Source organism: Homo sapiens, chromosome 6 (genome assembly GCF_000001405.40).
Source record: "Homo sapiens chromosome 6, GRCh38.p14 Primary Assembly".
In the NCBI taxonomy this organism is placed as follows: domain Eukaryota; kingdom Metazoa; phylum Chordata; class Mammalia; order Primates; family Hominidae; genus Homo; species Homo sapiens.
The window spans coordinates 134,019,087-134,046,411 of NC_000006.12; the positions used below are offsets into that span (position 1 = coordinate 134,019,087).

The following is a 27,325-nucleotide window of genomic DNA, read 5'->3' on the forward strand; positions in this document are numbered from 1 at the left end:
TGGGAAACATGCCTTCCATCTGCTCAAAGTGAAAACTTATTCATCATGAGATGAAAGAAGAGGTTAATTAATTAATTTATGGGCATATTAATTTTTGGATAAAAAGCCCTAATAATTATTATAAAAAAAACAGTCACATATATTTTCCGGAGTTTCAGTGGCTATTTTAAGGAGGGCTGGGTTTCTACACAAGTGTCACCTCAGATGAACTCATGAAATAATAACATTATGCCTTGGGTTTTGGCTCATCTTGACTTTACTTGTGAAGCATGAATATAAAAATCTTCACGTTGTTCTGTGTCTTCACAATGTCAAGAATCTGTGATTCTACGTTGTGAAAGCTTGAACCATGTTAGAAAAATTCTGTTATTAAAGGGAGCTGAAGTGATGATCAAGAGCACCCCAGAAACAGTGGGGAGTCGAGGTAAGATTTTGAACATATTTGAAGTGAAAGATAAGTTATGGACAACAGAGTGTTTAATAAGTATATATCCTGATTTTGTTTGACATACGGGTTTTAATATTAGCTACAGAAAAATGGAAGGGAGGGGCTCTTAGCCTCTCTGGGGCCATGAACCTCTTCGGTAGGCTGGTGAAGCCTATGGACCCCTTCTTAGAATAATATTTTAAATGCATTCTAGAAGTACATAAGATGTTGGGCGCAATGGCTCATGCCTATAATTCCAGCACTTTGGGAGGCCAAGGCAGGTGGATCACTTGAGGTCAGGTGTTCAAGACCAGCCTGGCCAATATGGTAAAACCCCGTCTCTACTAAAACTACAAAAATTAACCAGGCCTGGTGGTAGTGCACAACTGTAATCCCAGCTACTCAGGAGGCTGAGGCAGGAGAATCGCTTGGACTCAGGAGGCGGAGATTGCAGTGAGCCGAGATCGAGCCACTGCACTCCAGCCTGGGCAACAGAGTGAGATTCCATCTCAAAAAAAAAAAAAAAAAAGTATGTAAGATTACATGAGTACCCCTCCTGGATTCTAAATTCTGGGGCAACCCAATTATTTTACAGTTAGGGGAACAGGGGACCAGAAAGTAAAATGACGTGGGGCATCCACTTTAACCTAAGAATAGAAACACTTTCCTGGCAGAAGAAAATCATGCTGTGATCTAACACAATTAAGGAATGTTGTTCTAAGCCAATCCATATTTAAGAAGGTCTAATAAGGATGGTTTAATCTTGCTTTCAATGTTACTTTAGAACAGCAAGTACTTTTCCTTCATACCTCTATTTACACAAAGGATTTATTTGTATTACAAGCAATAAACTCTCTAAATACCTGAGCACTAATCACATCAGCTTAATAAGTTTGGTAATGCATTCAAGATCTGGTATGAAAAGCTTGTTCCTAATAAAAATCTTCTTTAAACTCCAACTAGTTTATATAGTTTATACCAATGCTCTAGAATACAATTGGGGATTGAAATGAAATTACTACAGGATATTTTCTTTAGAAAAGAAAAAGAAACTAAAATGTGAATATGGATGTAAAGGATTGACTCTTAGCAAGAAAAAAAATGGAGAATTATTTGGGTCTCTTTTAAAAACACGAGGAGAATCCATAGCCTCAAGATAAGAATGTGAAATGACTGTTCTCTTTAGATGTGATTTGGATTCCTGCCTCTGACAGCATGACTCCAAGCCTCACGTGTGATTACCCAGGCCAGTCCTTGCACCTGCAGTTGTAAATTGGACAGTCCATGAGATGTAAGAAGTATTTCCTTTTCCTAGATCCAAACTTCCTTCAACCCTGAGATTCTCCAACTCGTTGGCATTGCTTCTGGTCTAAGCAGTTCTCCGAAGCCCCTCTTCTCCATGTTGTAGCAAAAAGCAGAGGATCCAAAAAGCATCCAGAACAACTTTTAGATATTGTGTCCAAAATTCTCGAATAACTATGTATGCCTTAACAAAGAAATGCCTAAATATCTCCCGCTAATTGTTTCTTAACACTACTAAATCTCCTGCATCTTTTCTTACAGCCAAAATCAGAAAGATATTTTTTAAAAATCATGCCCAAGTGATGGATTGTTCTGCAAAAAGCCTCGTGATGGTGTCTGGCAGGAACAGGAGTTTTTTTGGCAGCCTAGTATTTCTAGCTTACTTAGTTCCTAGCCTGCCCACTAGCCAGATCTTTACACAAGTAAAGAAGCCCAATTTGACATTTTTCCTATGTCTGCATCGTATTTTTAAGTCCTTTTCCTTCTTCCTGCTTAAAAACACAAAGGTAAATAAACCAGCATGATTTTTAAACAGACTCATGCTGTGCTCACTTACAGGGACAGAAAGAAAAAATATGAGATGTTTCTTCCTTCAAAATGCTTACAGTCTATAACTACATTCTGGTTAATAAACCAAAATAAACATACAGAAGTAATACCCTATTGCTAAGGACTAAGATGTGTTCTCACATTGTAACTTACATTATATCATACTCTCATACTTTACAGCATCTAAAGCACTCTCATATACATTAGATCATCTGATGTGCACCTGTACTCTAGGAGATAGGACAGATATTACTATGCCCATTACATAGATTAGAAATAGCTCAGAGAAGAAAAATCACGTAAAGGTCACACCACCAGTAAGTAGAAGAGCTGGGATTAGAACAGAGGTTTTCTGATTTTAAATTTATACGTTTGGTAGCCCAGAACTGAATTACTCTAGAAACACACTAGTAGTTCATACAAATAAAGACCTCTAAAAAATGGAGTGGATTCAAAGAGGAGATAAAGCTTTCATTTAACTTCAAAAAGAGGAAGGATCTGGATAGAGCAGAGGCGGAAGGAAGGGGCCACAACAAGTGCTTTGTGTGTATTGACTTGGGTGTGGAGCAGTGGGGAATAAACCCACACTGATAAAGTATTGCCTCATTGCACAACCCCAGGGAGCATCATTCACTTTGTCCGTTATGTGGAGTCTATGGTGGCCCTGGAGCACAAGACTTAAGACTACAAGTAAATCGTGGCCCTATGGTCCTGCAGACACCCTGATAGAGCTGGGTGAGATAATGGAGGGTCTTGAAAAACCAGAGGTTTTGCCTCAAACATAGGTGATATAGAAGCAGAAAGAACATGGATTAGCTTTCAGGTACCTAGGGTTCTATTCCCAAATCTGTGTGCCCTCAATCTCCCAGAATTTCTTTTACTTGTTTTCTATTGAATGGCTCATGCCTGTAATCCCAGCACTTTGGGAGGCTGAGGTGGGTAGATCACTTGAGGTCAGGAGTTCAAGACCAGCCTGGCCAACATGGCGAAACCCCGTCTCTACTAAAAATACAAAAATTAGCTGGGCATGGTGGCAGGTGCCTATAATCCCAGCTACTTGGGAGGCTGAGGCAGGAGAATCTCTTGAACCCGGGAGGCAGAGGTTGCAGTGAGCCGAGATCACACCGTTGCACTCCAGCCTAGGTGACAAGAGTGAAACTCCATCTCAAAAAAGAAAAGAAAAGAAAAGAAAAGAAAAGAAAAGAAAAGAAAAGAAAAGAAAAGAAAAGAAAAATGTTGCCCCAGATCATTTCTAATCTCCTTTTCATCTGGAAAGCCATTTGACCTGTATGTCGTGGAAGAAAAGAGGAAAGCTTTGAAGATTTGTAAACATTGATGACATGAGGAAAATGGTATTTAAGGAATACTGGTGTGAAAGTTGCCAATACCAAAATGGAGTCACTTATGTCAAAACACAAACAAAATGGAGTCAGGAGGGCAAGAAAGAAGGAGCTCTTATCACAAGAGATTTCTGCACGTACTACATGATTTTCCTGTAACAGGACTTATTGCAAGGAAATCCCTCAAGACGGCAGTATTCCAAATAATCTGTTTACACAAGGACACTTGCCTAGTTAGTCTGTCTCAACCAACCAATAAGCTAATGCCAACTCCTGTAACAAACTCATGTTACCTTTGGTCTTTGTAACCTTTGGTTACAGTCTATGTGGAATTCTTTTTGTCTTTCAAAGCTCCCCCTTTGCCCCAACCCCCAGATATGTCTATGAACCATCACAGCATGCATATCACAGGTTTGCAACACCCCCGCTATTCCGTATTAAACTCTTTGCTTCGGAGAGTTGGTCACTCATTTTAGGTTGACAGTGGTCTGGAGGATGGATGGGTGTGAGAAGGGCCTGGAATAGACAATGACTTCTGGAAGGGTATCCCAGTAATCTGACAACGAGATGATAAGAGGTAGCATAGGATGGCAGATATAGGAAGGAAACCATAAAAGCAACAGCCGTTGTGATGATTGACTGAACTGAGAAAAAGCCCCAGAGCATCGCTCCGAGTGGCAGGAAGAGTGACTGCCCTCTAGAAAGGGAATGGAAGTGGTAAAGAACCCTGGTACAAGAGGAAAAGGAATTCAGCTTTGGGGTTGTTGTGTTTGGCTGACAGTGAAGCATGGAGGGGGAAAGGTTTAGTACTCATTGGGAAAAAAGGAGCTAGAAATCATGTGAGACGATGGAACTGGAAATAAGCGAGAGTCATCAGCTCAAGGGAGATAATTAACGTTCCTGAGAAAACAAGCATGAAAGCCTTTATAATGCATTAGCAAATGTGTTTTTCAGTTTTATAGCTAAAGAAACAGAAGGCGAGGAGACCTTAATGAAATGACCTCACCTCTTATTTTAGATGGAATGGAAGCTAGTCATATATTTGAATAATTAACATTTTGATTTTTAAAGTTTATCACAGCAATGGACTGAATTTAGGGCCCTTGACCTTTTGAAATTTTTTCCCCCACAGTCACGTGTATTCTCTCTTAGGCCAGAGTCTGTTACTGTGATGATTTTGTGCTGTGTTACTTAGCTAAGCTAGAAGGACATTTCCCAGAATTCCCTTCCCCTGGGTAGCTCTGGATTAGGGTTGGAAAGAAGAGAAATTTGCATGATTTGGAAGGCCAAAGTGACCCTACAGTGCTGTGCTTGAGGCATTGGTGCCGGGCCCTAGCCACCACCGCAGCTCGTGCACCCTGCTGCCGATCACTGGTTCCCCTTGTTGGAGTGAGGGCCCAGCGAGTTTGGCCAGATCTCCTCCTACAACTTCTCCAAGCACTAGACTGGGCTCTGGGAGAAGGCAGCAGTTTTTCTGCAGGTCGCCTGCCTCACTGGAGTGATGTGGCGAAAGACATGAGTGCTGCAGTTTCCTCCCATGGATTCCAGTTTGTCTACCGGATTCAGTGAGTCGTCTCTGCTTCCCTCTGCTTTGAGTCCAGCTTTTCCTCCGGCCTGCCCTGCTGCCAAGCAGAAGCTTCAGAAGGCCACCACCAGATGCCAAGACCGCAGTCTTCCACATACTTCTTCACCAGCTTCCCTCTGTGCCTTGATTAATAAATTTTTCCTTTTTCCCCAATTGTCCCCTTCTAGACCTTTGTGTTCTCAGCTTCTCCTACAATTGTGCGATACCAAATCCCTATAGGAAATGATTTGCCGTATCATTCACAGCAGTCCTAATTCCCTGCTGCAATTGCTCAGGCTGTCTACAGATTACCCAGGCCCTACTATACCCAATCTCCCTTTAGTTGACTGCACTCGTGCATTTTTACTTATTTCCAAGGGACCATTAGCTCTTAGTAAATGATGATGAGATTTTTAAATGCATCTTAATATGCGTGAGATTTTTAAATGTATCTTATATAAATGGTCATCATGATAGACTAGAAACCAGAATTGAATAATGTATAGAAAAACTATAGACTTCAGGTGTCTGACCCTGGGCACCTCCACAACACCCAGAACTACCCAACTCCAGCTATTAAGTAAGAGAGAAAGAAACTTCTAATTTGTTTAAGCCATTGTTATTTTGGGCCTTGTTACATCTGCTGAGCTTGAATTCTACATTCAGCATTTTCTCAATACGTTCAGTTATGAAAGTAAATGCACAGCAAAAACTCTCTTCTTGTTATTACCCTTCTTCTCTTTCATCCTATATCTCAGCCTTATAAAAAGTACATGTTCACTTACTTAGCAGAGCTTCAGAAAAGCAGAGACTATTTCTCTATTTTGCAAAATGCACAATGGTCCATTAGTATCCTGATGGATGGACAATGGTACACTATTTTTATTCATTCTTCCTCCTAGTGGACTTTCAAGGAGAAGAATGAACTAAAAATAATTAACATTTACCCTTAAGATCAACACAGGACTGCCTATTCCTGTCTTAGACTTGAGATTAATGTTGAATTTCAGAAGATAAAACATGTTTTCATTTATTTCAGCAAGTCACTTAATTTCTCTGAGACTCAGTATCTTCATTTGTAAAATGCAGTGAATATCCTTTCTTATCAGGCTTGTTTTGAAGGTAAAATGAAGTACTGCAAAGTACGTAAAAGCTGCCTAGCACAGTATTTGACATACTAGGTGTCAATAAATATTAGTGGAATCTAAAGCTTAAACCATATTTTAAAAAAATTAGCATAGAATGTTATTGAAAGACAACCAGCCGACAGAATGTTTTCTCTTTTGTTGTTTTGTTTTCTTTTTTTGGAGACAGGGTCTCACTCTGTTGCCTAGGCTGGAGTGCAATGCTCACTGCAACCTCTGCCTCCCAGGTTCAAGAGATTCTCCTGCCTCAGCCTCCTGGGTAGCTGGGATTACAACTGTGTGCCACAATGCCTAGCTGTTTTTTGTATTTTTAGTAGAGACGGGGTTTTCACCATGTTGGCCAGGCTGGTCTTGAACTCCTAACTTCAAGTACTCCACCAGCCTCGGCCTCCCAAAGTGTTGGGATTACAGGCATGAGCCACCACTCCCAGCCTCCAGTAATTTTTTCTAAAATCAAATTTGGTTTTCTGAAAAGGAGAACTCTTGCTCTAATACAATAAGGTATCAAATGATGTGTTAGAGACTGGAAGATTTGCTGCATTTTTCAAAATTACCCCAAAACTAAAGAGAGATGGGTGGCATGAAATTGAAAGGACTCTAACCATGAGTAGGTTGGTTCAGGAGGCCTAAGATCAATGTCTCTCATATTGATCTCATATCATAATATGTGCCATGACATATACCCTTTTAACCTGAGAGGTTTTCTGAATTAGAAAGAAGAGGGTATCCCTTCCTTTTTTTGTGGCTTTTTCTTAGACTCTTAGCTAATCTTGACATTTCAAAAAATTGGACCAAGAAAATTGATGTACAAAGGAAATACTTTTAGTTTTATGTTGAATATACAAGAAGGACAAGAGATGCTAGCAGAAGAAACCAATGGAACAGTAACTACCACCTGAAGTTTATCAAATGAGCAAAGCTTATTGTACTTGTTAACATAGAGAAGTTTCACACCCAAATCTAAGGTGTTCCTTGGTACAAGACTGCACCTATATCTCGTCCTTCTGCTTTGAAGAGTTTCTTGAAATAAAAATGTAATAAAAATAAAATAAAGAAAATAATAAAAATGAAAATAAGAGGTTAGCTCAAATTTCATTAGCTTAAAGTGTCATAGTAGCCATATGAGTATCTCATAGGTATACACTCAAGATAATTGAACCCCAAAGTAATGGTAGAAATCTGTTTCCGGGAAACTGTTCATTAATGGTAATTATCATTGTTAAGTCTTAAAAAGCAGGTTTAAGGTTCAGGAGCAGGTCTGAGTCATCAGAGGCTGGTGGTATTGTAATGTTTACTCTATCTGCCCAAGCAGTCTTATAGCGGGAAATATGTCTACTCACAGTGCAGAGGAAGGGCCATGTCTTGGTCTTCCATGTCTTGGACCATGACCCAATCTTGCCACAGCTGTTTAGGCCTGAACTTCCATCTCTGACTTGGCACAGCAAAGAGCAGCGTCAATCAGATTTCACCTAACCCTTCTCTCTCTCTCTTTGGAATTTGAACAAATCAATATCTAGAAACTGAGTGCCCTTAGAAGTGGAATTAGAAGCTGAAAAATGAGGAGGTGGAGTTAGAGCAGGAGAGGACATATCAGCCATGTGCAAGTCTAGTTATTAATTGAGATTAAGCAGGCCAAACCTGCTGGTTGCTGACCAGAAGGAGGCAGATACAGAGAGTATAGCTCAGTCCATTCACCTACAATCTCCCTGAAGATAGGGACAGTGTCTGTCTTGGTCATTATCCTTTCCCCAATATTTGGCATAGTTCCTGGTTATGAAAAAAATTCATCACTCAATACATATTGCTTGAATTAATAGTTAATGAGTTAGCAGTGGATGACTAAAGCAAGCCCCTACATGGCCTTCTTTCCAGAAACCCTGTCCAGTACCTAGAACCAGAGCCCTACATCTCCCCATGAAATTCCTTCTTCAGCATAGCCTATACCTTCTTATTGGCCTGAACCTCCAATGTTTCCCATTATTTGAGCCAATTTGTTTGCCTCCTTGATCCTTTTCAACAAGTTTCAAAACCAACTTTGTGATAGAGAGGGAGAGACTTAGAAAGAAAGAGAAAGGAAGGAGAGGAATAAAAGAGAAAGAGAGAGAGAGGAATGGGGTAGGAGGTGGGGGTAATAGAGGCTACCTTTAAGCTTTTAAGTCCTCCTTTTTTTTCTAGTGAGGCGTACAAAAGACCCTTCACAGCCTCCCTACAGAGACATTCAGGCTTTAGATGTGAGGCTAATAGACAAGAGAACTACAACAAACAGCCTATTCTAGTAAATCCATCTCTAAAAGAGTTTGCCCAAGAGAGGTGTTTATACTTTGTCATTAGAGCAGACTAGTTATATAAAATAAAACCTCATAGCTATGTCCTTGTAAATTGTATTATGTTGAATGATAGCAACTAGACTTTCATGCTTCTGTTTAATGGACAAGAGTAAAGTGCCATGGGAGGCTACTCTAGTGAATAAGATGTACTCAAAATAGTAATAATAATACATCCTCCTTCTCAGCTCATAATGTCTTCCTTCTTTACTATCACTGGAATGCATCCACTATTGTGTCTTTAAGAAAATCTAAACCCTTGATTTTTTTCCTTCTACATAGGAAGAAACTCAGAGATGATATAGAGGAAAATGTTACCCATTTTATGAAAGCAAATTTTGCTTTCATAAAGCAATGTAATTCCCTTGGGCAATAAATATCTTTCCAGGTCTGGTTCATCCTCAATTAATGGGAATTAAAGTATCCTCATGTGACAGATAATGGGAAACTTATCTTTCAGTTGAATACTAGCCCTGTACTTTTCAGAAGCAGATATAAGCCAAGCATACTTTCTGCATTAGAAGGAACATCAGATGACCAATGTTATCCTTGTCTTCCTTCTAGCACTTATGTTCATGAGGTACTATAGCAGTAGGATGCTCTGACTGGTCAAAAGCAATACATTAAAGAATAAAGTACTTACTTGGTCCTAGACCAATTGAAAAAGCAGCAACATAAACAAGCAAGCTGGCTAAGGACAGCCATTTCAAAAAAGCTGGGACGTCCCCAGGGTCTGTGACTATCTGGTATTCAGTGTGGCTTAATCCAGCATTTAGCAAGGATGCTGAGGTCGTCTCCCCTCTCTTATCCACATCATTTCTCAGGGGCATGAGTGAGCTTCTGCTATGGGAAGAAATCCCTTTGAAGTGGTCTCTGAGAGTATTGTTGTTGGTTGACAGGTTTCCTGGTCCATAAATCACAGACTCATCCAAGGACTGGTTGATAGAATTGTGGCTTCTGCAGATATGGGTGAAGTTCATGTGGATGTTGAGATTTACGATGCCCATGGTCACCAACGAAGCTGCCATCACAGAGGAGCCAATGCAGAGGAATGTTTTGCTGCCGACATGGTCTACAAGAAGAGTGGCAGGGATGGTGCTAATGACCTTGACGACTCCAACCCCAGTGGAGGCGAGGCTAGCTGCCTCATTGCTTTGAAATCCAACTGACTTCAAAACAGTTGATGCATAGAACAATATGTTTGGTTGGCCAGTGATTTGTACAAAAAATACTAGTGTTAGTCCTATCATTATTCGGGTCCGCATGTTGTCTTTTGAACGAAACAGATCCCAAAAACTGTACTGATATTCATCTTTCAGGGAGGATTTGATCACAGTGAGTTCCTCAGTTGTATCTGAGAGTGCTCTTAACCTTCCAAGAACCTTGCTAGCAGCTCCCTCTTGTCCTTTCATCACCAGAAACCGAGGGCTTGGAGGAAGAAAATACATTGCAATTGCTTGCAAAACTCCCAAGGGAATCACAAGACCAAACATGTACTTCCAGCCATGGAAAACATTGGCAAATGCGTAATTTGAAATATAGGCAGAAAGAATGCCGATGACAATCATCAGCTCATTCAGTGACACAAGAAGGCCTCTTCTGTGTTGAGGAGCAATCTCTGCGATGTAAACACAAGTGGCAATGGAAGAGAGGGAGATGGAGACCCCTATGGCAATGCGTCCCACTATAAGAACCGTGTAGGATAAACTGAGGATCAAGACTAAGCTTCCGAGTCCAAGCAGGCAGGATGACAAGATGATTGCTGTCCTTCTTCCATATCTGTCTATCAGGACCCCTCCGGTGAGTGAGGCAAGGAGGGCTCCAATGACGAGGGAGCTCACAACCATTTCCTGCTCATGGCAGCTCAGGGCTAATAAGGTTTTGATCTGAAGAAGAGCCCCAGAGATGATCCCAAGTTCATAACCCACCAGGAGGCCACTGACAGCAGCAGTGACAGATGACAGGAAGGTAAACATGCCGCAGCCTGCAAGCAGAGAGAAGAGACAGGGAGGTCAGTTCTCAGTTGAGATTTTAAACATTTTGTATTTGAGCGGAGATTTAACCTTGTAGAAGTCTTTCATAGCACTGGGTTTAAACGAACACACAATTATGATAAAATAATACACTAACCAAAAAATGATTTGATATAGAAGGAGAAATCATTTTTCTTTCTTTTTTGGGAGGATAGGCATGGAGACATGTAGGAAGTCCAGTTTCCTTCTATTTATGATGTTGATGTTTTTGGTTTAGATCAGACAGTGATGTTGAGATAAGCAGATGACACATGATGAAGACTGAACAAACAAGAACATCATTTGGTTCATGACTTGGCAGTGGATCAGAAATTCAAAGAGCCTGACTCTTTGGTCCCATTCCAGTTCTCTAAAGGCAAATCTTTGAGGGCAGGAGAGAGAGGATAGGAGCCTCTAGAAGTGCTACAGCCTCCTTGCTGGATAGCCTGGGTCAAAATGAAACACAGCCTCCAGGAAACTTGCCCTCTTATCTCCTGGGCCACAGTCGTGCTGCAAATGGCCTCTGCTGAACACATGAGGGTGTTGGGGCAGAGGGTGGAGGTGGGAGTGGGCAGTGTGTGAATGCCTTAACAAAGTCAAGGTTTTGCTAAACAGAAGGAAGGAAGAAATGTATGTAGTGTAAGGAACCAGCAATATCCCTTACTCATTCTGAGTAAGGAGAAAGGGGGATGGAACACAGGCAGAACAAGGAGAATTTACCTTTATATTGTTCTTTCGTTAATGTTCAAATCCAAGGAAAAATGTCAAAAAGTTAGTAACTATTAATTTTTGGTGGTAGGAACACAGATGTTTGTTATATGTTTGCAACTTGTCAAAATAGAAATAAAACAAAACAAAAAAGCAACAGAGGGAAGAGTATTTCAGGCCCAGGAGAAAGTAATTTCCAAGGCCTTAGGACAGGAAAGTTCTCATTATGTTTTAGGAACTGTCAGATGGCCAACATATAACATGTGGGGCACATTGTGAGCCTGGAGCGGTAGGACGGAAAGGGCTTAAAATGAATTTGGATAAGTACAGAGGGGGCACTTCAAGTAGGGCCTTGTCGGTCACAGTGATGACTTTTCATTGTGTTCCAAGTATAATGGAGCCAACACCCACTGAGAGGTGTAGAGGGCATTGACGCTATAGGTTTCTTATTTATAAAGTCCACCTTCACTGCTATGTAGAGATTAGTTCTTCAAAATGCAAGACTGGCAAGACTGGTAGCAGGGAGGAGTTTGTTGCCTTGGTTTGGACAAGAGATAATGGTAGCTTAGACTTGGGTGTTAAGAGTGGAACTGGAGATAAGTAGGCAGATTCAAGACTTATTTTGGAGCTAAAAACCACTACACTTGTTCAGGGCTGGATGTGGTGGCTCACGCCTGTAATCCCAGCACTTTGGGAGGCTGAGGTGGGTGGATCTCCTGAGGTCAGGTGTTCAAGACCAGCCTGGCCAACATGGCAAAACCCCATCACTATTAAAAGTACAAAAATAGCTGGGCATGATGGTTCATGCCTTGTAGTCCCAGCTACTCAGGAGGCTGAGGCAGGAGAATCACTTGAACCCAGGAGGCAGAGGTTGCAGTGAGCTGAGATCATGCCACTGCACTCCACCCCGGGCAACAGAGCAAGACTCCATCTCACAAAAAAACAAAAAACAAAAAACAAACAACAAACAAAAAAAACATTACACTTGTTCAAGAATTGGAGATGGGGGATAAAAAATGGGTCAGAACCCAGGATGGCTCTGTGGCTTGAGCAGGTGGGTGGGTGATTTTACAATATTTGATATACTCAATACAGTACTATATGGGGCCAACACCCATTGAGAGATGTAGAGGGCATTGTACTATATACTGTGTAGCGCAACATACCAACATAGGGAAGATTAGGAATAGAACTGGTTGTGAGTGGTGATAAGAGGAGGGGCAAAAATCAAAAGTTTCATTTTGGACTTAGTAAAATGGTTTATTTATTTTATCTGTAAGACATTCAGGTAAAAATGTTAAGTAGGGGATTGGGTATACAGATTTGGAGCTTAAAGATAGGTCAAGCCTGGACATATGTATTTGGAAGCCAGCAGCACACATTTGGTATTTAAAGCCACAGGAATGGGTGAGATCACTTAGGAAGATAAAATAGGGGAAAAGGAAAAGCATGATCAAGACTGGGACCTAGGCAATGCCAATATTTAGAAGACTAGTGCCAGCAAAGGAGATGGAGAAGAATCAGAACTGAGGTGTAAGTCAAATGTTAGAAATGTGATTACACACACGGTTTTCATAGGCTGAGCTAAGGCTGCCTTTTCGGGGTTGGGGGAGGGTATAGTTAAAAATGCTATTCAGCTCTAGTGAAATAAGCAGGTCAAATAAAGGTGATCTAAAGCTCTACCACAAATACTCAAGGTATTTTCCATCTCCAGGATCCTAGTAGGCTATGGGAATTGGCAGCCCCAAAAATAAGGGGAAAAAAGCACTGAATATTTAGATGGAGGAGCAAATAAAGGTGCAATAATCCACAAGAAATAAAGCAAATTTATGAGCATTTTGAACAAAACCCAGTAAACTGAAATTAAATCAGCAATTTATCTAGCTAATCAGAAAACAAAATATTTGGCACTGTTACATGGCAGGCATTTACCTGGGTACAGGGAGAAATATATATATATATATATATTTATATATATATATATATATATAAATATATATATATATATTTTTATATATATATATATATATTTGTTCTGTTTCACTGCTATATATATATAGCATATATACCAACATGGAGTTATATGCTACAGAATTTAGCTGTGGTCTCAGTTGCCTGAATTTTAATATCTTCCCTATTATATGCTTTAAGGGACACTGCCCCAAACTAGCTTTCCCACTTCCTTTACTACTGATACTTAGGACTACTGTTTGATCCTCAGCCTGTCCATTCGGGGTTTTGAATTCTAATTCACTGTATAAGGCTAGTCCTTAATGCTTCTGAGATTGTGGCTCTGATACCACATTTGTTCTGTTTCACTGCTATATATATATATTATATATATATAATTTATATCTATATATATAAATTATATATTATTTATATATAAATATATATTTATATAATATATTACATATATTATATATATAAATAACTTAATTTTTGGTGGTAGGAACACAGATGTTTGTTATATGTTTGCAACTTGTCAAAATAGAAACAAAACAAAACAAAAAAGCAACAGAGGGAAGAGTATTTCAGGCCCAGGAGAAAGTAATTTCCAAGGCCTTAGGACAGGAAAGTTCTCATTATGTTTTAGGAACTGTCAGATGGCCAGCATATAACATGTGGGGCACATTGTGAGCCTGGAGAGGTAGGACGGAAAGGGCTTAAAGTGAATTTGGGTAAGTACAGAGGGGGCACTTCAAGTAGGGCCTTGTCGGTCACAGTGATGACTTTTCATTGTGTTCCAAGTATAATGGGGCCAAAAAACTTAACATTCTGATGATATCTTTATTACCTATTATTTATTAATTTTGTGTGCTGTTTGACTTTTTTGGCATGCAAAATGACTTTAAAGTACTCTCTTATAGGTTCATTCATGTCCACGGTTTCCATATTCCTTTTCCTATGTGATCTTAAAATCCTCAACAATGAATTCCTCTACCACAAGGAGAATTAGGTCAAATCTTCACATTTGGATAAGAATATTGTATTATTCTTATCTCTGCTTGTCATTGTTCATTTTTTCTATGTTTGCTGTGTTGATTAGTGTATGTGTTTTGGCAATTGAGGACTGGTCTCTGATATTCTGATTGGAGAAATAAGTGAATTTGGAGAATGGACCACCTGGGAGGCCAGACTGAGTGAAGGACCTGGGAAGGGCATGTGGTGTGACAGAGGGCACCTGGGGCTGCGGAGTTAAGGATGCAGGGGAATCAATGCCATAACTGCTTTAATAGCAGAAGAAGATTGTCCTTGCCACCCTGTGCTTCTCCTCTTCCTTTCTTGTTTTCCTCTTTCATGAGATGGAAAATACTGTGTCCCTACAATGAGAAAGATGCCTTGAGATGCAGGAGTCCCTTCCTTCTGTGCTCCATTATCTTACCTTAGAGAGCCTGAAGTGGTTTGCTAAGTGCTAGCTTCTCTGTCTGGAGGAAAGAGCTCCTGACAGAAGAGGGACCCAACCTCTTCTGCTGCTTTCTGGACTTAGATCATTTGCCTGGTTTCTCGGGCCGGGACTCATAGCACACTGACAAATGGGAATATGTGCAAAGGGTCTGGAAGCCATCCCAGTTTGTCAACGTTCCCCTTGAAACCCATGGAGTATAATTCTTCAGAGACATTAAGGAATTATTTTTATATGAATCATAAAAACCTTTTACAATTTTCTATATGATAACATATATCTCTTTCTTGCTATCCATCTTTCTATCTTCCTGTCTCTGGGCAATTTGCCTTTAAGAGGTTAAAACCTTGTACAAGATCATTCTAGAACCCTAGTCCCACATGGACGGCTTACCAACATGGAGTTATATGTTACAGAATTTAGCTGTGGTCTCAGTTGTCTGAATTTTAATATCTTCCCTATTATATGCTTTAAGGGATACTGCCCCAAACTAGCTTTTCCCCTTCCCTTACTACTCATATTTAGGACTGCTGTTTGATCCTCAGCCTTTCCATTTGGGGTTTTGAATTCTAATTCACTGTATAAGGCTAGTCCTTAGCGCTTCTGAGATTGTGACTCTGATACTTCAAGACTTCCATCACAGGAAGTTTTCCTGGTGCTACTTTACAAAGAGAGGCATAAGGAGTGGGTTTTTCTTGTGTGTTGGTTAGCCATGACAAGAGCAAGATGCTATCCTATGGATGCTGGAAAGTAGAGATACCTTTTTCTAAGAAATCTGGCAGTGAACAGGAAGCAAGAGATCAGAATGTGGGTTAAAGCACTGGCAGGAAGGTGGGGTTTGTGTTTGTCTACACACAGAGGTGAGAGTTTGGGCAGCCACGTGGACTGAGGAGAAGTTGTCAGTGGTGAAGGACAGAGTAAGATGAGGATTCACAATTAGCACTTTTCCAAAAAATACCCAGCTTTCAAGTCAGTCTGCCTTTAATAATGATGAAGTAGAGCATTCCCAGTCATTTTGCTCATGGCTTTGCTTCACAGGGGCCCTTCCTTTACACCCCAGTTCTCCCAAAAAGTGCCATGGGGAATTCTTGGCTTTTTGTGGACATTACAGAAGTGGAAACTACCTGGAGGCTTGTAAGTGGTACCCCATAGGCAGTTTTGTTATGCCTATCCTGTCTTCTTCCTGCTGTTGGGGCTCGGAATAAGATACCCCAAAGTACGGCACATTGGTGTGCTGAGTACTTTGAACTAGACATGGGAACATAGGAAAGGCCGCTGGCTGCCTGACAAAAAAAAAAAAAAAAAAAAAAACTGTGTGTGCATGCTTTTCAGCTGGCTGTAGGATATCAGCCAGAAACAAGGTCTTTCTGACCCTCTCGCATTTTCCCCTGAAGCAAGTCATGGAAAACAGAATTCCTTTCCCCAAGGTGGGTCTCAGAAACCAGAACCACTCCGCCCCAAAGCAAATCATAAAACCTAAAAAGGTCACTCTCTCCCTTTTCCCTTGAAAACCTTATTTCATGGGAGTCCTGCCCTCTGCCCAGGAGGAAGAAATGCCACACAGTGAGGCCCAAAAAATCTGGACAGGCCTTGCTGGGTTTCTGTTTCAGTTTATTACTATTGACTCATACCCTTTTGTTCAATCACATTTCTACACGCCCATCCTTTCTTCATCAAACCTAAGCATAAAATCAGACATTTTTCCCTGAGTCTTTAGATCTTCATTTTGAAAGCCTCCCATGTCACATCAAACTTTGATTAACTAAATTTGTTATGCTTTTCTCTTGTCACTCTGTCTCCTGTGATAGGAGTGTTAGCTGTGACCCTGATGAGTGAGGAAAGGCATCACACCTTTCTGTCTCCACACTGCGTTGCTAGAAGTTCAGCAGCAGCAGTAGGAGGAAGATCTCCAGTTTGCCTTTTGATGCAATGACAATTCTTTATTAAGGTGATAAAGTAAAACTGTTCCTATCAAAGCTGTGATTCAATCAAGCAGCTTTATGCAAACAGGTGCTGAGACCTGCAGCACAAGAGCACCAAGGGTGCCACGAGACTGTAGCACCAGCCACCACCACAATAGCTGCATTGTCTGCTGGTCAGTGAGTCAGATGAAACCACAACTGTAGCTGGCACTCAACACGAAACAATCCATTTTTCACAATATTTGAGTTTCTGCCTGCTTTCTTCTTCTCTTTCTTCCCCATATGCCTTTTATTGCATATGGACATAATGGGCACGCAATAAACACTTGCCAGCTGACTAAATCCTACAGCCAGCTGAAAAGCATGCACACACAGGTGGTTTCTTTTTTTCTTTTTTTGGCAGGCAGCCAGGTAATTATATAGCTTGACCAACTGTGAATACTTTACAAATTTAAAAGACACCCCCACCCCCACTTCATATTTTGTTCAAGAAAAACTTGCAGTTGTCCAAAAATGGCCTTGCAGCTATGGCCTGCCCTTCCTGTGCTCTTTCTCCCTGAACGCCTTTGTTCCCAACTCATCTTTCAATAGTCATCTCTACTACCACCTCATTTCTGAAGTCCACTTCTCAGTCCTCAGCATTATCTTGCCCCCGGCTCGTGTGTGCCCACTATGCACAGAATGTGTGTTCAGAGTCCATCTCATTTTAAGGCACTCTTTGATTGACCTGTGTGTCTTCACTATTAGACTGGAAGTTCCTTGAAGGCAAGAACCCTGCCTTTCTGAGACCTGTCCTTTCACCGCTAGCCTTCTGGCACAAAGTAAATACTCAATGTTTGTCGAGTGAATGAATGAATGAATGAAAACAACACTCCAGAATACTGATCCTTACACCTCTACTCCCCACAATTGTATCAACAGACTATGGTTAATCTGTAGTGTTATATAATGGTTAGCATCTAGAACTTTATCTTCATATAAATATTTAGCAACTGAATAGCAATCCATTAGCATTTCTATGAAGGTTTTAGCGCTATGTTTAGCTAGCTGATATAGCACCATTTCAGGGACCATAAAGTGTTTTATTGTCACAACTATATTTATATTTTATTAAACTTCAGCCCTATGCATGGAATTGTTCTCTAGTTGTTCAGACAGAGTATTTAGCAGCCCTGTTTCAGTGGACCAGGTCTTCAGGTTCCATAACATTCTCCAGGCACCAACTCTCCAGCCCATCTACACCACTAGCTGTTTCCAGAATCTTCTGTGTTCTTTCCCAGGTCTGTGCTGAGACTCAGGCTATTCCCTTCACCACAGGGTCGTTTGCCTTCCTTCACAGCCCAGGGAAACTCGATTCAATTTTTTTTTTTTTTTTTTTTTTTTTTTTGAGAAGAAGTGTCACTCTGTCGCCCAGGCTGGAGTGCAGTGGCGCGATTTCGGCTCACTGCAACCTCTGCCTCCCAGGTTCAAGTGATGCTCCTTCCTTGGCCTCCTCCTATTCATTTTTAAAGGGCCAGCTCCAATATCCCCTCCTCCATAGGCTTACCCTCTTGGGTTAGCATTTTTTTTGGCTTTTGTTTTTGTTTTTTTTTTCAGACGGAGTCTGGCTCTGTCGCCAGGCTGGAGTGCAGTGGCATGATCTCGGCTCACTCTCCACCTCCCAGGTTCAAGCGATTCTCCTGCCTCAGCGTCCGGAGTAGCTGGGACTATAGGCGTGCACCACCATACCTGGGTAATTTTTGTATTTTTAGTAGAGACGGGATTTCACCATGTTGGCCTGGATGGTCTCGATCTCGTGACCCCGTGATCTGCCTGTCTCGGCATCCCAAAGTGGGATTACAGGCATGAGCCACTACACCCGGCCAGGTTAGCTTTACTCTCCCTTCTCTCTCTTGCCTTTACATCCAAGGTTTTACAGCACCCTGGATTATATTTCACTAGGTTTGTATCCTGCCTTAGACTGGGAGCATGTTGGGAGCAGGAGTGTCTGTATCATGGGTGCCAGTGCTCAGTAGAGGTTACAGGATGCCCCAGGAAGGAGATGCAGGAACTTAGCAGAAGGCTCACCTCCTATAACCTCCCAGAGGGCATGTCCCAGGGAGAGTTCTGGTGTGGTGTTTCCAGCCCACCAAATGTCCAACATGCTGCTCCTTGGCATTGGACCCTGCATGGCCATGCCTGTATTGACAAATACTGGGTACAAGGCTTATCTAGCCACTATCTCCCACCCCTCCCCTGCACCCTGATCCTCTCCTCAGCACACAGTGAAACTCAGACAAAAAGGAACTTTGGCCTCTCTCAACACCTATTATTATTTGAATTTTCTACGGAAAAAATATAGAAATGTTGCGATCTTTCTTTGTTAGTTTTCCAACCCCGGGTTTGATTTAGTAGCAATTTCACAGACATCCTTTCCTGAAACTAATATTCTTCCACTCCTATTGGCTGAGGAGTTAATAAGAGGAGACACTGTTTAAATTTGCATGTTAGTACTCCCCTGTGCTTTGATTTGTGGTTCACTTTTTCTGCCTGATTATGTGTATTACTTTCATTCTTTTTCTTTCTGCCTTTTTTTTTTTTTTTTTTTTTTTTTTGAGATGGAGTCTCTCTCTGGTGCCCAGGCTGGAGTGTAGTGGTGCGATCTCGGCTCACTGCAACCTCTGCCTCCCAGGTTCAAGTGATTCTACTTTCTCAGCCATCCGAATAGCTGGGATTACAGGTGTGGGCCACCACACCCCCTATTTTTGTATTTTTAGTAGAGACAGGGCTTCACCATGTTGGCAAGGCTGATCTTGCACACCTGGCCTCAAGTGATCCACCTGCTTCTGGCCTCCCAAAGTGCTGGGATTATAGACGTGAGCCACCGCACCTGGCTTCTTTCTGCTCTTCCTTTTATCCTTTCTTCCTTTCTTTCCTTTTTTTTTTTTTTTTTTTTTTTTTTACAAATTCTCGCTCTTTCGCCCAGGCTGGAGTGCAGTGGCACAATCTCAGCTCACTGCAACCTCTGTCCCTGGGTTCAAGCAATTCTCCTGCCTCAGCCTTCTGAGTAGCTGGGATTACAGGTGCCTATCACCACGCCTGGCTAATTTTTATACTTTTAGTAGAGACAGGGTTTCACCATGTTGGCCAGGCTGGTCTTGGACTCCTGACCTCTGGTGATCCACCCACCTCGGCCTCCCAAAGTGCTGGGATTACAGGCGTGAGCTATCGCACCCAGCCTCCTTTCTTCCTTTCTTCAATTCAAAACTTTCATCAGGATAAGTCTGGTGCATTTTCTTCTAAATTTTTCTGCTACTTGTTGAGTTCTTTTTCCATTCAGGAAAGATTTCCTCTAATATTTTTGTCTATTTGTTTAGACACAGTTATTTATATGTTAGTTTAATATATTCATTTCCTCTTTCATCTCTAGCTTCTCATCCTTTTCATCTGCATCCTAGAAGAACTTCTCATATTCATCCTCCACATCACAGATTTCAGATGATGATTCTGCTGTTGCAGTTTCATTCCCTTCCACTCTACACGTCATTGATCTATTTGCATCTCAGTTCTCAGCAAGCTCTATCTTCACCTCAGTTTATTCTTATCATCAGATGTGGTTTACATCTTTTGCCACAGAGTCTATCTTAAAAAACTATATTGAGAACAGAAATCAGATGCTTTCCATAATTTATTTATGTTTCCTATAAATAGAAATCTTAGAATGCATCCTTTTCCTCTGTATTTGAAACATACTTGCCAATAACCAGATTTGCAGCATTGCAAATAACCTAGCCCCTAAATTTGCAGCATAACCTAGCCCCTAAATCAGTTATGATATTTTTGACTGTGATACAGTTTTTTTTTAATCACAATTGATGTCCCATTCCAAGACTGTGATATTGTTTTAATGTATATTCCCACCAACTCTCATATTGAATTCTAATCCCGAATGTTGGAGGTGGGGCCTGGTGGGAAGTGTTTGGGTCATGGGGGCCCTTATGAATGGCTTGGGCCATCTGCTTGGTGATAAGTGAGTTCTGACTCTGAATTCAGATAAGATCTGGTGGTTTAAAAGTGTGTGGCCCCTCTCCCTCCACCCCACTCTCTCTCTCTCACTCCAGTTTTCACAATGTGATGTACCTGCTCCCCCTTTGACTTCTGCCATGATTGGAGGCTTCTCGAGGCCTCCCCAGAAGCAGATGTCACTATGCTTCCTGAATAACCTGCAGAATGGTAAGCCAGTAAAGCCTCTTTTTTAAAAATAAATTATCCAATCTCAGGTTGTTGTTTTTTGTTTTTTTTTTTTTGTTTTTTGTTTTTTGTTTTTTTTGAGACAGGGTCTCACTCTGTCACCCAGGCTGGAGTGCAGTGGTGCGATCTCAGCTCACTGCAACCTCCACACCTCCCAGGCTCAAGTGATCCTCCCACCTCAGCCTTCCGAGTAGCTGGGACTACAGGTGCATGCCACCACACCTGGCCAATTTTTGTATTTTTGATAGAGATGGGGTTTCATCATGTTGCTCAGGCTGGTCTCGAACTTCGGAGCTCAAGTGATCCTCCCACCTCAGCCTCCCAAAGTGCTGGGATTACAGGTGTGAGCCACCACGCCAGGTCTCAGGTATTTCTTTATAGCAATGCAAGAACAGCCTAACACAGACTGCAAGAACCCCAAGCCCTGATAAACAGAAGCTTACATCATAGTGGCATTTATTGCTTAATTAACTAAAAGACCAAGTTGGGTTTGGTGTCTCCAAAGACTCACACTGTACCCATCCTCCTGTTCCCGTTTCCTCAAAGGATTGTCTGTTGTCCCCTGGCTTGTCACCATATGTGCAAGGTGGCTGCCGCAGCTCCAGGAATTACGTTCCCTCACAACCACATCCATAGGCAGGAGACAATAGAAGGAGGCTTGGGACAAGGATTTATCCTCCTGTGGCTCTCTCCTTTTATCAGGAGGAAAACTTTCAAGAAGCAACCTGGAAGACTTACTTAATATCTCATTGACCAGAGCCAGTGGGTGACTGGTCAAACTTGGCTGTGAGAGAGATTGACAAGTGCATGTCTGAATCTTTTAGTTACCCATGTAGGAAAAGTAGAAAATCAGAGGGGAGTTGGAATGGCTGTGGTATATTCAGTGTCTGACACACCTTATTCTAGCCACCTGGTTGCAGTTAGAAACTCCTCTCAGGTCTTTTGCACTGGAGGTGCAATTGATGTGCACAGCTGCTGGCCAACTTTCTGATGTCTGTATGTTATTTTTCTGGTGTGGTTCCATTGAACCAAGAAAGGAACTTTTTAATTTTTTTTTCTTCCACTTTTTGGTCCCCTGATTACAAATGAGGGAGATCATTCCTGGATTATTTAAAGCAGTCTGTATTTCTTTACTTGTCAAAAACAGTGGGTGCAAAACAAACTTCTAGAGTGCATTGCTCCAGTGGCTCTGAAAGGCTTTGTCTCTTCTTAACACTAGTTTCATATTTCAAAATGCAGTGAGTCACTGTCTTGCCTATCCAGCCCAGAGTTGTTGAAATCATGGAAATTGGAGTCCCTGAAGAGATACAGAAAGAGAAATGACAAGGCACAGTGGCTCACACCTGTAATCCCAGTGCTTTGGGAGGCAAGGCAGGAGGATTGCTTGTGGCCAGAAGTTCAAGGCTGCAGTAAGCTATGATTTTACCTCTGCCCTTCAGCCAGGGCAACAAAGAAAGTTGTGTCAAACAAAAAAAAAGAGAGAGAGAGAGAAAGAAAGGGAAGTGATAATGACAGGATGGGGGATGGGATTGGAAGAATCAGGTGTTAGGGCAAGAAATTCTGACCCTCAGAGAAAGCAGCTCTGAGGGTCTGAGGAGCTCTTTCCCTTCCTTGCTTGGTGAAGGTTCCATCTCTGTCAAATGAGGATGCACAGCGGCAGTCTACGGGAATCCAACATTTTACGGCCCAATCTTATACATTAGGCTCCCCATTTTATTTACTGTTAAATCCTAACTCATTGACAAATATTCGGGCTTTCAATGCTGTGGTGATTTTGCACTTCTGTCTGCATTTTTGTGGAGACTTTCGATGATAGATGGTAAAGAGGGAGGGAACCTGGAGAATAAACCCGCAGCTGTCTTTCCTAGAGTCCCCTGGCGTCTCCAGGAAGGGGATGCTCAATGTGTGTGAGCCTTGGTGAGCCATGGACATTTGAAAACCGACATCTCCGAAAGGATCCCCAGTCCACTGAAGATTATTTAATGTTGAAAAAATAGTAAAAGATGTATCTGTACTTCTCAATTTCAAATGTATATAAATGGGATGGAAAGTTGTTTTTTAAAAAATTCAGTGTGCTAGTGAGTACATAGCAACTTTCTCTCACTCTATATTTTCTAATCAATAAATATAAAACTGCGAAGACAATTTTGTGAGGATTTGAAGTTGTTTTTATATTTTAAAAGGAGTTGCTGCACTCAATAATGGTTGAGAATCACCAGTAGTGCTTTTTAAATTATTTAATTAGGGAAATGAAATGGGAAGAACATAAACTATATTGTGAAGGCTGTGGATGAAGGTCCTTTTAGGAAGAGCAATTTACTAAAATTAATACCTGAATGGCCACCTGAACACTAAGGGTTAAGCTCACCGTTATCATGTTGATAATGGACAGGTGGCCTATGGGAGAGAGCGAGAGGGAGAGAGAAAAGGCTAAAGTGCTCTATCGAATACAAAGGAGGGATTTTGATGAGAAAGAGAGTGAGACAGAGAAAGAGAAAGAGAGAATGAAAGGCTAAGAGAGCCCAGAAATAGAAAAAAAAAAAAAGTAGAAGAAAAGGTCAGGACAAGTTGTCGAGTTGTGGGGAATGGGGAAAGGGAGAGACACCAAGAGCTCAGTATGACAAGAAGCCTGAGGATTTTTTAAAAGTTGATTTATAAGAAACTCCTGGCTGGGTTAGGTGGCTCACACCTGTAATCCCAGCACTTTGGGAGGCAGAAGTGGGAGGACTGCTTGAGCCCAGGAGTCTGAGACCAGCCTGAGCAACATAGTAAGACTCTGTCTCTATTAAAAATACAAAAAAATTAGCTGAGTGTGGTGGCGTGCACCTGTAATCCCAGCTACTTGGGTGGCTGAGGCAGGAGAATTGCTTGAACCTAAAACATCAAGCCTGCAGTGAGCTGTGATTCTGCCACTGCACCCCAGCCTGGGCGACAGAGTAACACTCTGTCTCAAAACAAAACAAAACAAAACAAAACAAAACAAAAACCAAACACACACACACACCCCAAAAAAGAAACTCCTTATGGTGGATTTGACAAGAGAATTTTCAGGATGGGCCTACCTAATATTCAATTGCACTACAGCACTCTTCAAATTCTTAGTAAAAATCTACAAAGAGCTTATATGAATGGGATTCAAGAATATGAAGGAAAGGGGGCTGCTGTCATCTAAGAATGGATTGGAGCAGGGATAAGAGAAAAGACCAGTTGCTGGAAGTGGAGGGCAAGGACCCAGAAAAAGCAGGAAGTTGGTGCAGGAGGGTGATCAGAACCACGAAACTCCTGAAGTGTACTGTGTGTGTTTGGATGGGAGGCTGGTGGGGAGGAAGGAGGCATGTGGATTTAACCATAAGGGGCCTGCAACTATTTTTATTTTAAAATTAAAAGAATGGTGACACCATAAAGCTGTAGAATTTGGAGACATGTAAATGAGGATTTCTAAAACTCCCACTTCTGTCACCACTACCGTCACTTTTAGAAATTTTCTTGATTTCTCAGGCCAGGTGCAGTGGCTCACACGTGCAATCCCAGCACTTTGGGAGGCCGAGATGGGCGGATCACCAGGGCAAGAGATCAAGACCATCTGGCTAACATGGTAAAACCCCGTCTCTAGTAAAAATACAAAAATTAGCAAGGTGTGGTGGCATGTGCCTGTAGTCCCAGCTGCTTGGGAGGCTGAGGCAGAAGAATCGCTTGAACCCGGGAGGCAGAGGTTGCAGTGAGCCGAGATCACACCACTGCACCCTAGCCTGGCGACAGAGCGAGACTCTGTCCCAAAAAAAAAAAAAAAAAAGAAAAGAAATTTTCTTGATGTCTCTAAATTAATATGGTCTCCTTCCCAAGAATTCCTGTTTTCATGGTACTTAGTTCACAAAAGTTTTGTGACATCTTTTGTAAGCTAAGGAAGCTGTGCCTGCTGCCAGCTTCAGATTCCTTTGTCATCCTCTTTCCCTGCTTTGAACTCTGTGCTCCCAGAATTCCGAAGTATTGGAAGCTCCCTGAACGTGCCATTCTCTCTTCTCCAAACATGTTCAAGCTATTTTCCCTCCTTAGAATGCTCCGTAAAACTACTGGCCTCAGTTACACGTGCTCGGCTCAACTTAGCCATCCTGTCTTCCAGGAGTCTCCAGGGACTGGCTGAACTTCCCCCTTTGCTATCATAGATATTACACATAATACATGTATAATATCAAGCCATCTCCTCCATCAAAGGATTCCTGATCCCTCATCGCTCTCCACTAATTGGCAGTAAGCACCTGCACTGTGAGGATGCCTTTCGTTTCTCACCAGACTCCAGGGTCTGGCATCATATCTGATTCCTACTATCCACTCAGTATTTGCTGAATGGTTATCTTGCAGTTAGTTCGATTTTTATTTTTTTGATAAGTTGGTAAAACCTACAGACAAGAATAAAGGCCTGGGCACAGTGGCTTCACGCCTGTAATCCCAACACTTTGGGAGGCCGAGGTGGGTGGATCACTTGAGGTCAGGAGTTTGAGACCAGCCTGGCCAACATGATGAAACCCCATCTCTACTAAAAATACAAAAATTAGCAGGATGTGGTGGCAGGCATCTGTAATCCCAGCTACTTGGGAGGCTGAGGCAGGAGAATCGCTTGAACCCAGGAGGTGAAGGTTGCAGTGAGCCGAGATAGCGCCACTACACTCCAGCCTGGACAACAAGAGTGAAACTCCGTCTAAAAAAAAAAAAAAAAAAAAAGAATAATGTCTTAGATACATTTTTTTTTAACCCTGAAGCATCCAGCACTGTGCCTCTCATGTAGTAGGTGCCCAATATGTATTTGCAGAAGTAAAATGCTCTTTAGTTCAGCAATCGCTTCTTTACTCATTGACTCCTTCAACAATTAAGCATGAACTATGTGCCAGCACTGTCTGGCAGGCAAGTTTCATTGACGGCTATTGCAATCAGCCTTCATGGTTGCTGGCAGCATCGTGTTGAGATGTTTCCTAGGTTACATCTGGATTTAATGGCACTAGAAGGTGGTACTTGTGCCACATGGATGTGATCCCTCATGTGTAGGCTGGAAATACAGAGAAAAAGGCATGATTCCTACCTATTATGAATTGCACAGAACTTTCCAAGCACTGTCAGTCAGCTCAGAGCTCTGATAGGTGCATGAAATATATATTTTATCGAGAAACTTATAATCTTATAGAAAAATACAAGTTACATAAAAAGTTAGGGAATTAACTAAAACAGAATGCAAACAAGTCCTGAAATGAGTGTAACTGGAATCCAAATTCACAGATTGGAAAGTAGAAGCATTATTGCTGGCTGGTAATATGGGTCAAGAGAGCAAACCTGGACTGGATTTAGGAAAGTAAGGTTCAGATCACTGTGCTGTCCTCTAATATCTGTGCTACCCAAGACAAGTCCCTTTGCTTCTTTCCAGGAGGAACCTGGGCTTGAAGGTGAAGAACAGTGTGGAATCAGAGTCCTAATTAGTTACCGGCTAGACTTTGATAAGTCCCTTAAGGTTTGTTTCTCTCTGTGTCCTCATTCACAAGATAAAGATAATAATATTACCTCCTTCATAGAGTTGTAAGAATGAATGAGACAGAAGAGACCCTGGTACCTGGTAGTAAATGATTGGTAAATGTTAGCTGTTGTTCTTAGCCTCAGTTTCCTTATCTGTGAACTGGGGTGCCTCATGGGGTTGCTGTAAAGATCTGAAGGGATTACAGTAGTAGAACCACTTGGCCCACAAGAATCATTTAACAAAAGCTCCTTTAATCTGAATCTAGAAGGTAAAATCTTCATAATACGGAGGTAAAGCTTTGAAACAGTCTTTTACTGATAGCAACAGAAATAAAATAATACCTTATTTCCAGCATAACAATTGTGTCTTTCATAAATTCTTGAATTCCTTTGCTTTCAAAATTGGCAGTACCTACATAATTGGGCTTGCAGCATGAAAAATTCCTCCTGTGATTTTGTCTGAAGGTTTCTGCAGCTTAGTTTCCCAATATAAATAAAACATTTCATTAGTGTGAGGATGCTCTCTCACCACACAAATTGACCCTAATTACAACTTCCATTTCCCCTGTTCTTGAAAAACTTTGCACATCTGAAGCTGAGCTGTCATGGTTTTTTAATTAGTATTACTCATAACTCCCAACTCTAACTTCCATAAAGTGTGGAAATGTGTGTGGGAGCAAGACATTTTGTATAAAATAATAATGGGCACTGCTAACAGCTCCAGAGCCCAGTGATGCCAGGCAGACCTGAGTCATGAGTTGTCTGAGAAGCAGCTACTTCCAAGGCAATCACAATTTAACAGTTTAAAATTAAATTACACTTGCTTTACTTAAAAAATATATTCCTAAAAGTCAAACAAGAATTGCATTTTTCTCCGTGGAATTTTGGCAAAACAGT

General features: G+C 41.5%; 1 protein-coding gene across 3 annotated transcripts in view; it reads right to left on the reverse strand.

Moving 5' to 3' along the window:
• Window positions 1–27,325, reverse strand: part of SLC2A12 (solute carrier family 2 member 12) — a 65,044-nt gene that overhangs the window by 31,506 nt on the left and 6,213 nt on the right. For all 3 annotated transcript variants that reach the window (NM_145176.3, XM_017010311.3, XM_006715349.5), the window contains exon 2: window positions 9,295–10,635. In NM_145176.3, coding sequence (NP_660159.1) covers window positions 9,295–10,635 — 1,341 coding nt within the window. The remainder of the gene's footprint in view (window positions 1–9,294; window positions 10,636–27,325) is intronic.